The 13271-nt window shown below is 37.4% G+C and overlaps 1 protein-coding gene across 19 annotated transcripts in view; it reads left to right on the forward strand.

The window, feature by feature from the left end:
• The window catches only part of FOCAD (focadhesin), a 340326-nt gene that overhangs the window by 258564 nt on the left and 68491 nt on the right, over positions 1-13271 (forward strand). For all 19 annotated transcript variants that reach the window (XM_047423537.1, XM_047423539.1, NM_017794.5 and 16 more), the window contains 3 exons: positions 2705-2749; positions 9472-9580; positions 12113-12229. In XM_047423537.1, coding sequence (XP_047279493.1) covers positions 2705-2749; positions 9472-9580; positions 12113-12229 — 271 coding nt within the window. The remainder of the gene's footprint in view (positions 1-2704; positions 2750-9471; positions 9581-12112; positions 12230-13271) is intronic.

Below are 13271 nucleotides of genomic sequence, written 5' to 3' on the forward strand. Positions count from 1 at the left end.
ACAATCCCAAATCTAAGTAAAGTCATCACTTGATTTATTATTTCAAAAAGTATTTATTGAGTGTCTGTCATGTGCCAGGCACTGTTCTAAGCACAGAGGAACAGCAGTGAATAAAGCCCCTTCTTTGTCCCTCCAAAGCTTATACTTGAGTAGATGGAAACCTGTAATAAACAAATAAACAAATGGAATATGATAGAAGTTGATTCATGGAAGAAAAATAAAGTACGATAGAGGGAACAGAGAGTGAATGAGGCTTGAGGGAGGTTGAGGGGTGGCATTACCATTTTCTGTACGGTGTTCAGGGTCTCTTTAATAATATGACATTTGAATGAGACCTGAAGGAAGTGGTGGAGTGAGCCAAGCTGATATCTGGAGAAGAGCATTCTAGGAAGAGGAAACAGCGAATTCATCATAGGCCCTGGGAGTGTACCTGGCAAAGCCTGTGTGGCATGGAGAGCGCAAGGATGGAAGTAGTGGACATGAGAGTAGAGAAGTTCGGGAGATTGCAGGGTGGAGAGTCTTTGTCAGCACAAAGAGGACTTTGTGAGTGAGATGGAGAAACATTGGCAGATCTTAATCACAGAATCTGACTCATGATTTAAAAGGACCACTCCAGCTGTTATGTTGAAAATACACCCTGCGGGGCATGGTTAGGAGTCCGTTGCAATAATTTAGGCAAGAGATAATAGTGTTTTAGACTAGGATGTTAGTGTGGAAAAGTAAATTGATTTTGAATCTATTTTAAGGCAGATATCATACGTTATAAATGCTAATAATTGAAATGAAGGATGTGAAAGAAAGGGATCAATCAAAGATACTCCAAGATTTTAACTCTAAACAAAAGTATGGCATTTCCATTTAAGACAAGGAAGACTAGAGAAAAGCAGGTCTGCGTAGAATAGGAATCAGATTTTGGACTTAGGCCTGAGATGCCTCATTAGCCTCCAATTAGAGATAGCAAGCAGGTTGTTGACTAGTCTATAGTTCCAGGGAGAGCTCAGAGCTAGAGAGGTGAATTTAGGAAACATCAGCATATTGATGGCATTTAAAATCATGATGCTGGATGAGGTCACTTAGGGAGTGAATAAAGAAAGAGAAGATTTCAAAAGATTGAGCCCTGATTCTATATTTAAAGGTGGGGAAGATGAAGAGGGAACCAATAAAGCAGACGAAAAATTAGTTATCAGTGACGTAGAAAGAGAACCAAAAGAGAGTAAAATCTTAAAAGCCAAGGAAAGAAGGCATTCTAAGGAGCAACCAACTGTGTCAAATACTGTTGTTAGGCTGCAGAAGATAGGGACTGAGAATTGAGCATTAGATTCAGTCTCTTGAAAATAATTGGTGGTCATGACAGGAGCTCTTTTGGTAGAGTTATTGAGACAAAAGCCAGGTTCTAGAAGGATCTAGAGAGAGTGGAAGGAAATAACGAGAGTCATCAAGCATAATCTTTTACACAAGTTTTGACGTATAACAGACCAAGAAATGGGGCAATAGCTGGTGGGCTTGTTCTGCTTTCTTCTTTTAGAGGGTAGATACTACAGTATGTTCACATGCTAAGGGAAATAATACAAGTAGAGATGGAAAAATTTGTGATGCAGCAGAGAGGAGGGAGTAGAGAGGTAGCTTTAGTGCACAAGTGGAAGGTTTGACCTTAAATGTAAGTATACATAGGTCATCATTTGTAAATATTCCACACTGACCAATGAAATATTACATTGAATGGACTATATTCCATTTAGGAATACGGAAATTAAACAGTACATTTTAGAGAAATTTGCAGTCAAATGCTTTTAAAAAATACAAGATTGAGATCTATAGGAGGTGTTGCACCTGTCTGAAAAACTTGTCTCTTAAGAGTGACTCATTCTCAGAGTGCTGAATAGCTAAGATTTTATTATATATCAAATGCAAATATTTATGAATGTCAATATAATTTATATTTAAATGCAACAACTTTAACAATATTTATAAAACCTTCGAATTTATAAAATTCAATGTTTATATTGAAAATGATCCTTTTAAAAAAGTAAATTTGACAGCAAGTGGTTGTTTTTTACTTCATATTGAAAATTCTATATTGAATTAAAAATTAGGTTCTGTAAATATTTGAATTGTGCCTACCTTCTTTCTAACCCACAAGTATAATTATTTTCTTTTGGCTTTCCTGTGACTATATAACCAAAGTTTGAAATTGCATTTTCTATAAACACATAGCGACTATTTCATATGTACAATTTGAAAATTGTAAATTGATGTTTTGGTGAGCTCTCATGTAAAAAAGAGAGACTGTCTTAGTCAGTTTGGGCTTCTAAATGCCACCACATTGGGGATTAGGATTCAATTTCAAATGTGAATTTGGTGGGGTATGCAAACATTCAGTCCATTGAAGAGAGTAATATAATGGACACTTGTATACTCACCACGCTGTCTGAGATAATACTGTTACAGTGCTATCTGTACATCCCCCCTCAGTTACATATTCACCTCCTCCTTGCCTCCACTCAGTGACCTTATGAACAGGAAGATGAAGCTATCTGTAAAGCAGAGCCCTTATTACAGTTCTTTCACCTTATACTGAAATTCTACCTGTATAGTTTTAAGATCTGGAGCCATTGCTGGAGGTTCTTATTAATTGATGAAAAAGAGAAAGGAATGATTTCTTGTTCTAACATAAACTCTCGTCTATTTTCCATCTTTATTGCAGGGTTAGAGACATGCTGACTGATGAGATCACCAAGGCAGCTGCAAAGTAAGATCCATTTAGTCTTTTATCAAACATTTTTTATAAATACCTTTTCCTGGCAGGTACATACATTTTCTCCTTTTAGGGCATTTCATAATTTTAAGGATTTTAGAGTACTTTTCAATTATTTTTTTAAAAAATTAATCGTTACCCTTCTTATAGTAGGTGAATTCTTACTACATGTCTTTTTGTGAAAATACAGAAGGATTGGTACTAACATATAACTTTTACATCAGGAGTCACTGAAGTTGAGCCCCTGCTGTATACCTAACAGATGACATGTGCTTTGGCTTAAACTTAAAGGATTGTAATTTAGTTCGAGGGGATTAAAAAAAAAAAGAAAGGAATCCTTGCTAATATGAGTTATGTTGGTAGTACTTCCTTTTGTTCCATTGGTGTTATTGGGTTCCGCATATCTAAAAATTGAATTTTTAAATACTAAAAACTAATGCCAAGGCCCATTTAAAAAGCAGTTTTAGTCATATGCTTATGGTTGTTTTAACAAAAATTACTTGAGTGTCACTGCCTTGATGCTTTTTATTTACCTTAAGCCAGCTCTCACTAAAAAATACCCGAAACTTGCTTGAACAATCTCTTCAGGTTCCTTTGTCAACTGACAAGCTGACTAATTGTTCCTGGCAGTAAGTTACATGCCAGTTACACTCCCTTCCACCATCTTCTCTAACTGCTGCCATTTCTGTTTGACTCCTTTCTTTCTTGCCTCCAACCAACACAGATATACCTTTGACCTAGAGGATTTCATGTGTATTAAAAGTCCATATCATCCAGAAATTTTTAATTGTAGTATAGTTTATCCTTTTCATGTCACAAAACCTTCTGTAGCTAAATAGATTTTGCCTTAAAAACAGAACAAAAAATGATCTACCTTAGAGTTAGCTTTCTATCAATAATTTCTTAAACAGACACTTAACTGTGAAGTCTGATCTCAGCAGATTATCACTGTTCAGTCTCATGTCTTCTGGATAAAGAGAAATAGAAGTGATAATCCTCCCCTGACTCAGTCCTATGGAAGGCACTGGGAAATATCTGTTGATAAAATGAAAACTAAAGTACAGAGAGCTTAGATGGAGACTCATTCTTGTCTTGTTTTCCCACTTTGGTGAATTGCAGACATAGTGGGAGAGGGCTCAGTTGCATATCAGAGGGGGAGGGGATGCTGGGATGAGAATGCAGGCTGTCTTTGACCTTTACCTGTAATAGTTTGTTCTCTTATGTAGTCTACATATATCCTATTAAAAGCAGTGCTCTGACATTTGCTGCAAAAACTTGAATGCAGAAGAAACTACCAACTTTCTCCTAAAGCAAATTATAATTCCTCGTGTCTAGTAGATATTGCAATTTTCCATTCTAAAATTTTACTCCAGTGTGACTGTAATTTTCATATTCACAAAGTATCACTTCGTGACTAATACCTAAAGAAAATATGTTTACATGAGTAAAACTAATTCATGTTCTCATGGTATTACCTTCTCATCAAAACTTACAAAGTGGCCGGGCGCGGTGGCTCACGCCTGTAATCCCAGCACTTTGGGAGGCTGAGGCGGGCGGATCACGAGGTCAGGAGATCGAGACCATCCCGGCTAAAACGGTGAAACCCCGTCTCTACTAAAAATACAAAAAAATTAGCCGGGCGTAATGGCGGGCGCCTGTAGTCCCAGCTACTTGGGAGGCTGAGGCAGGAGAATGGCGTGAACCCGGGAGGCGGAGCTTGCAGTGAGCAGAGATCCCGCCACTGCACTCCAGCCTGGGTGACAGAGCGAGACTCCGTCTCAAAAAAAAAAAAAAAACTTACAAAGTATCTTATAGACCTTATTTTAATAAAGCAATCTTGACAATACTAGGAATGGTAGCAAGTGTATAAGAGATATTTTAGGTCTGGAGGCTGAGAGATTGGTGATAGAGCAGGGGAAAAAATCATTCTGTCACCCTCTCTGCTTCTTCCCACTGGCTTCCTCCAACATGAGGCCTTCACCACTGCCCGCTGCCAGCTTAGCTTCCCTTTCCTTAGCTACGGCTGCCACAGGCTGGTTTGGGTCAGGGTATGGCTTGTTTTGTTCAGAGCTAGAAGTTAAATGCAAAAAGTGACATACCAATCATGGGATGATCCTGATTTGTTCATGTAAGCCCAAAATCTCCTCAAGCTGATAAGCAACTTCAGCAAAGTCTCAGGATACAAAATCAATGTGCAAAAATCGCAAGCATTCTTATACACCAATAACAGACAAACAGAGAGCCACATCATGAGTGAACTCCCATTCACAATTGCTTCAAAGAGAATAAAATACCTAGGAATCCAACTTACAAGGGACGTGAAGGACCTCTTCAAGGAGAACTACGGACCACTGCTGAATGAAATAAAAGACGATACAAACAAATGGAAGAACATTCCATGTTCCTGGGTAGGAAGAATCAATATCGTGAAAATGGCCATACTGCCCAAGGTAATTTATAGATTCAATGCCATCCCCATCAAGCTACCAATGACTTTCTTCACAGGATTGGAAAAAACTACTTTAAAGTTCATATGGAACCAAAAAGCCCACATCACCAAGTCAATCCTAAGCCAAAAGAACAAAGCAGGAGGCATCATGCTACCTGACTTCAAACTATACTACAAGGCTACAGTAACCAAAACAGCATGGAACTGGTACCAAAACAGAGATATACACCAACGGAACAGAACAGAGCTCTCAGAAATAACACCGCATATCTACAACTATCTGATCTTTGACAAACCTGAGAAAAACAAGCAATGGGGAAAGGATTCCCTATTTCATAAATGGTGCTGGGAAAACTGGCTAGCCATATGTAGAAAGCTGAAACTGGATCCCTTCCTTACACCTTATACGAAAATTAATTCAAGATGGATTAAAGACTTACATGTTAGACCTAAAACCATAAAAACCCTAGAAGAAAACCTAGGCAATACCATTCAGGACATAGGCATGGGCAAGGACTTCATGTCTAAAACACCAAAAGCAATGGCAACAAAAGCCAAAATTGACAAATGGGATCTAATTAAACTAAAGAGCTTCAGCACAGCAAAAGAAACTACCATCAGAGTGAACAGGCAACCTACAAAATGGGAGAAAATTTTCTCAACCTACTCATCTGACAAAGGGCTAATATCCAGAATCTACAATGAACTCAAACAAATTCACAAGAAAAAAACAGACAACCCCATCAACAAGTGGGCGAAGGAGATGAACAGACACTTCTCAGAAGAAGACATTTATGCAGCCAAAAAACACATGAAAAAATGCTCACCATCACTGGCCATCAGAGAAATGCAAATCAAAACCACAATGAGATACCATCTCACACCAGTTAGAATGGCAATCATTAAAAAGTCAGGAAACAACAGGTGCTGGAGAGGATGTGGAGAAATAGGAACACTTTTACACTGTTGGTGGGACTGTAAACTAGTTCAACCATTGTGGAAGTCAGTGTGGCGATTCCTCAGGGATCTAGAACTAGAAATACCATTTGACCCAGCCATCCCATTACTGGGTATATACCCAAAGGACTATAAATCATGCTGCTATAAAGACACATGCACACGTATGTTTATTGCGGCACTATTCACAATAGCAAAGACTTGGAACCAACCCAAATGTCCAACAATGATAGACTGGATTAAGAAAATGTGGCACATATACACCATGGAATACTATGCAGCCATAAAAAAGGATGAGTTCATGTCCTTTGTAGGGACATGGATGAAATTGGAAATCATCATTCTCAGTAAACTATCGCAAGGTCAAAAAACTGAACACCGCATGTTCTTACTCATAGGTGGGAATTGAACAATGAGAACACATGGACACAGGAAAGGGAACATCACACTCTGGGGACTGTTGTGGGGTGGGGGGAGTGGGGAGGGATAGCATTAGGAGATATACCTAATGCTAAATGACGAGTTAGTGGGTGCAGCACACCAGCATGGCACATGTATACATATGTAACTAACCTGCACATTGTGCACATGTACCCTAAAACTTAAAGTATAATAATAATAAAATTAAAAAATAAATAAATAAATAAATAAATGAAGGTGAAAACAAAAAAAAGTCGAGTCAATAAAAATTTAGCAAATTTTCACATCCAAAAAAATAAAAAAGAACATTTAAAGCTTCAGGGATAGGGGTAAGGGAGAGTCAGAACACGTATAAAACCTGATGATTGATGTGAATTTATTTCCCTTATTATTTATTAAACAGATTTAAACCTGAAGATAAAAATCACTGAAGTATTGAGTCACTTTACTAATATGTAATGTAATACTTTGTCCCTAAGAAAGCATCATTGTAGCTCAGCCTTCCTTGTGCTTTTTAATTAGGTTAATAACATCATTTTGTTTTAAAGGACAATTTAATTAAAACGTCGGTGGTGTTGCCTAGATAAATACTCTGTGGAAGCTGACATGTTATTATGCAAATTAGTCTCTCTTGTTTGACTGGTAGGGGATAGTTATTTGAGCAACAAGGTGATGAGTTTTTACTGAACCAGTTATAGATTCCCACCTCTCCAGCTCCTCCTTGAATTTGTTTCACTTAGTATGTATTGAGTACCTTCTATCCATAAGTCATTGTGGCAGGCATGAAGGGAATGCGAAGATGATCAAGAGTTAGTCATGGTACCTTTGTGAAATGTGTAATTTGGCCTAGGGCTGCACTGTATAGAGTGGACTAGGTTTTTAATTCAAAGATTATTATCCAAATATGTGTTCATTCTGCAACCAAATATATTATTACCAGTGTTTTTAAATAAATTTTTCTCCATTACTTAAGAACAATACATACTCAGATATGTCAAGACTAGTGAAGGATTTGAAATAAAATAGTTTTTGGTACTGTTTTAAAACCGAGGCTAATTTCTCTTTCAGAATTTTGGGGTTAAAAAGAACTTTTTATGTTATCTTGTCTAATATATTTGTTTTATGACTTTTGATACCCAGATTCTAGTGACCTCACGTTTTCTACAGAGTAATAAAACTGGGACTCTAATACTCAGATCACTCAAAATTTAGAACTGTTTTTAAAACTCACCTTTAGGGATTCATGACCATTTTGCAGTAGGAAAGGCCTCAGGATATTCTGTTAAAAGAAAGAGATAATATTAGAAATAAAAGATTTAATTTTGTTTTTGTTAAATGATTTTATGGCTAGGGCACCTAGGAATGACCAAATCCCACCTTGTTTCCTTGTGTTTTCTTATTAGCTATATGAGTGCTCTGTAATTCTCTTTGTAGAACTCTAGCAAAACCCAGGTTGGGGCCATCTGCTTAGACCTCAAGGCTTCCTTCCCATTTTCTCCTCCAACCCTCCCCATTATAAACGTTGATGTCTTGCTAACTTTTGACAGGCCTTATAGAGGAATACATTGAGGTGGGGGGGTGGTGGTGAACAAAATGATCAAGGCTTCAAGTCTTCACAGAGCTTAACCACTCTAAAGTGGAAGGGAGAGGGGGAAGGAAGGATGGGCGAATAGATAGGAAGGATTTGTTAATGGCAAGTCCTGAGTCCCATTCTTACCAAATGAAAGCAGAAATGCAAGAACACATGTGCGCCAGCAATTTAATACCCACTGACTCAAGTCTTCAATTGAGACTATGGCTTGGGACTTGAGGTACTAGGCTCATTTAGGGAGCAGAGCTGAAAATCTTCCTTATCCCTCATATCTGTTATAGTCCTGCCCTGAGGTAAGCAGGAAGTGGTTCTTGGATCATGCACTGAATTCAGATTCGGGTTTGAAGTCCAAATTTTGGGGAACATTGTATTTATGGGAACCCACATCAAAGGACTGAGGACTAAACGATCTGATGGTATGGGTGCTCTTGTTGCTGGAGTTCTGTTATAAACGAATTGGCAAACCTAGAGCATCTGATTGGTGTCCCATAGGGGACTTTATAGGATCAGCTTGGAATTATGGAATAATATTAAATGTACATTTTCAAGTGGTAAGTATATTAAAAAGGTTCAGGTTTTTACGTTAAATTCAGAAGTCAAACTCTTAAGAGTTTATTGCTGATATTAGAAGGCTACCATTTAGATGATGTAAAAAGGCAACTTTCAGTCCAAATAGTCTAAAAACAGCCCTTTTTCATTTGCATCTTATCTGGGGTCTCCAAATTATATTACAAACTGGGTTTAAGGTTGATAGTTTTGCTATATTAAGAGAAAGAAGGAGAGGATAAAAATGAGTAAGAAAAGCTGCTGTGTGTCAAGTTGTAAGGTATGCAGGCTGAAGTGGTTTGCTAGAAGCCAGTTCAACATACCGGTGCTTCAGAAAAGCCAAAGATTGTTCTATTCTGCTGGGCTTATTGACATAACTGTCTTAGTTATGTCTTTACAACAAATCAATAATTTTAAATTGGCCAAAGATGACACAGAAGAGATCCTAGGAAATGTAATGTTAATAGATGAAATAAAAATTTAGGAAGAAACAACTTACTAAGCTTGGATTTTTAAGTTATGAAAAGGCATAATGACCCATACTACATTGATAAGAAGAATTCAGAAACAGCTCTAGAGTCAGAAGGAAGGAAAGAAACTGTTGGCCTAACACAACAAACAGACCTGCATTTACAAGACTCTGTGAAGGAACACAAGTTGCTTTTTGACTTCACCTGCCCTCCTATATTAGCTCTTTCTCTTCTTCTGGTTAATACCAAAGTTCTCTGTTGAAATTTTTTTCCTTTTGAACAGGGAGAGTCCGGTAGTGAAAGGCAATGCGCTGTTAGCTCTAAGCAGCCTTGCTGTCGTCGTATCTAGACATGAAGCCAGCCTCTCCTCAGACTCTGACGGGCTCCTGGAGGTTAGTTGGGGTGATTTAAACAATTGGCTTTGATTATGTCTTTTTAAGCCTGGCTTTAGGTAGCCTGGCCCTGGGCTTACAAGGTTAGATTCTGTGATTATGGCACCAAGTTATAGTACTTGATGGGCCTTTATACTGTGAGCCTCAGTGTCTTCCTAACTTTGCTGCTTTTCTGTTTTCCTTTCTCCATCACAGTTAAGTGGTCATTTCTATTTGAAGGTGCCAATTTTATGCCATAGGGGTTATCTTTTTGTGATTACATCAATGGTAACCAATCTTACAAGGTTAACTAGGCTTACTGAAAGTGAACAATGCCGTCAAAATGATAAATAAGCAGTGTTTATTGACTGAAAAAAATGTACTTTGCATTTTAATTGTATATGTCAATGACAAAGTGCCTATTCATTTTTGCAAGGCAGTTATTTCTTAATTAAACATGTGGTGAGCTGGCCACTGTTCATTTCTAATGTACTTTCTTGGATAATTCATATCTGTCTAAATAAAAAGGCATGGATTTATTCTTGTTTTAAGTCTCATTATCTGGTAGCTGTCATCATCTAGAGATGACATAACTGAGTCGTTAAAAATATAGGCTTTGGAATAAGAAAGTCCTATATTTAGATCCTATTACTTCCACTTACTACCTCTATGGCCTATTTGTAGCAATTTCCTCTTTCAGAACCTATTTCTCCATCTGTAAAATGGAGGGATAACAATGCTCACCAGATAGGATTGTTCGAAGGATTAAATGAATTAATATATGTGAAGCACAACAGCTCATAGATACTAAGCTCTTATTAATAATAACCATTCAAAATTATTCAGTCTGTCTCTGTCCTCAATGAGTATCTTATGGGCTATCTGTATTCTTTTTTTGTTGTTGTGGGTTTTTTGGTGGTACACTAAAAAAATCAACTCTGGTGACTCATTTAAACCAAAAAGGAACAGGAAGTATATGGAATCTAGAAGCCCGTGGAATTAAAGGCAAAGCTTAAAAACTGTATTTTGGGAAGAACAAGAACCAGGGCAAGTTGGGTAGTCCAGGCAACAGGTACTAATGAAACATCTAAGCAGACCACCTCCAGTGGGCCAGAACAACTTCAGTCATTTATTATCCTCATGTCACTTAAAATTCAGAGTCCTTTGGGTCCTAGGCCTACCCCTTGGACAGTGTAGGACAGCTAGTTTGATTGAGCATTTAACTAACCTTCAAACAGTGGGGAAGACGGAACTCTGCAAAGGGTGTTACTACCAGTAAACAGAGAATAGGTGCTGTGTGGCAAAAGCCATGGATATATATTACATGTAGGGAAGGGAAAGAGGCCAAGGGATTATTGCATGAATGATATTAGTTAATTACCTTATGAAAATTTAATTTTAAACTTAGAATCTTACCGATAAGAAAGATGGAAATTTTATAGAGAGGAAATGTTTCATGTCTTTCAGAGAGCCATGGAATATTTTAGCAGAGGCAACATGCTGCATAGATCTACAACCTAAAATGTCAATGCCCCTTTCTATGATCCCTTCACTTTGGTGTTATTTTTGTTGAACTACCAGTTATACAGTAATTTTCCCCAATAATAAAGGGGTCTAGCTCAGAGTTTGAGTTCCAGCCTCTCTTACTTTCTCCTCCACCCCAACACACCCCAACACACATTGAGAAACCACACAGTCCAAAGATGAGGCTTTGCTTTTATTCATGATGACCTTGCCTTTGGCTGTTACTCAATGCAAATTCAAGACCTCATTATTTGATTAAAGTTGAAACTTTCAAACATTATTCAAACCTGCATGTGACCACCAACAAAAGATTTGAAGATGTGACAGCCTTGTTTGGTTCAAGGAATTACAATAATTCCAGTTACCATGTGAGTTAATGAATGCTTTTGACATCCATGGTCATGAATGACTTTAATAACCAAGTTTTATTTTTAATGAGTGGGGTTTTTTTTGTTGTTTTGTTTTTGTGTTCTCTTCCTCTTCTTTTTCAAACTGAAGATGATTCATGTTTTCTACCTAATCTTTCAGTGAGTTGGGTGAATGTTGTCAAGATTCTTGAAATGACAACTAAATGGTAATAGTCACCAGAAATGCTAGAGATGTTGATCTGAATTCTGTGGGCTGCTTATTGCCTCCTTTGTCAAATAAGAAGTCATAGAAATGAGAAATTTTGAATTATGTTTTTTGCACATCTGTCCTTTTAACCTCCATATTATCTTCACTATAATTCATTCAACGCAGGAGAGCTCTGAAGGGCTCTTGGATAGTTCTGTTTTGCAGCATCTATCCTCTTCTGCTAATTTGTTCATAAAAGATACATCTTATTTCTTTTGGGGCACAGGTGAGGATGTATATTTGTCAACTACCTGTATACCTCATACGTGCATGCTTATAGTCCAAGCAGATGAAGTTTACTTTTTGATAACAGCACTTTATTGTTTAATATAGAAGGGAGTTACACCTTAGATTTAGAAATATCTTTAGATTTGTTTTCTCTGTAATCATTTCATGTTTTTAATTCATCTGCAGGTTCAACCTAATTTCCTTTCAATGAAAGAGTGGGTTTCCATGGTACTTGATACACTCTTGGTCATTGTGGATAGCCATTACCAACCCAGAGGGCAACTTCTCTCCTGGTTTTATTATGTAAGTGCAAAAAATAAAAAATGATCAGAAAACTCAAGAATTGACTCTTATGACATCAGTTGGTCACATGAAATCGATTATATAGGCCAGGCGCGGTGGCTCACGCCTGTAATCCCAGCACTTTGGAAGTCTGAGGTGGGCGGATCACCTGAGGTTGGGAGTTCGAGACCAGCCTGACCAACATGGAGAAACCGCATCTCTACTAAAAACACAAAATTAGCCGGGCGTGGTGGCACATGCCTGTAATCCCAGCTACTCAGGAGGCTGAGGCAGGAGAATCACTTTAACCCGGGAGGCAGAGGTAATGGTGAGCCAAGATCGCGCCATTGCACTGCAGCCTAGGCAACAAGAGAAAAACTGTGTCTCAAAAAAAAAAAAAAGAAAAAGAAAAAAAAAAGAAATCCATTATATAGTGTAATGATTCTCAGCCCTGGCTATTTGTTAGAATCACCTGGGGAACTTTAAATACACACACACACGAAATATTATCTATATAAAATATGAAAATATTATATATGTAAATTATAAGAAATATGTGTGTAAATATTAATGTTATATATGTACGTACATATGCATATATAATGTGAAATATATATGTATAGACATATATATATATATATAAAAGAAATACCAATGTGTAGTCCCCACTGCTGATTTAATTGCTCATGGATAAACTCCGGGCATCAGTATTTTGAGAGCTCTCTCAGTTATTCTAATGTGTAGTCAGGGTCAAGAGCTACAGTTGTAGTAGAATAAACATTGGCTGAAATGTGGGGACTCCAAGTTTCTAGTCATAGATTTTTTTCATTTCAGATTGTGTGACTTTGGGCAATTCACTCAACCTCTTTGAGTCTTTTTGTCCTGATTTATAAAATGAAGGAATTGAAAAATATCATCTATAGTAGTTGTAGCCCTTGCTCCCCACTTCTTGTTTTTGTGACTGTTGACACTTACTTCATCATTCTTATTTTTCTTATCTGCAAAATGAAAGTAAAAATTAATGCTTTGCCAACTTTCTAAAAAGATTGTGAAGATCAAATAA

The sequence above is a fragment of the Homo sapiens genome, chromosome 9 (assembly GCF_000001405.40).
Source record: "Homo sapiens chromosome 9, GRCh38.p14 Primary Assembly".
Lineage (NCBI taxonomy): Eukaryota > Metazoa > Chordata > Mammalia > Primates > Hominidae > Homo > Homo sapiens.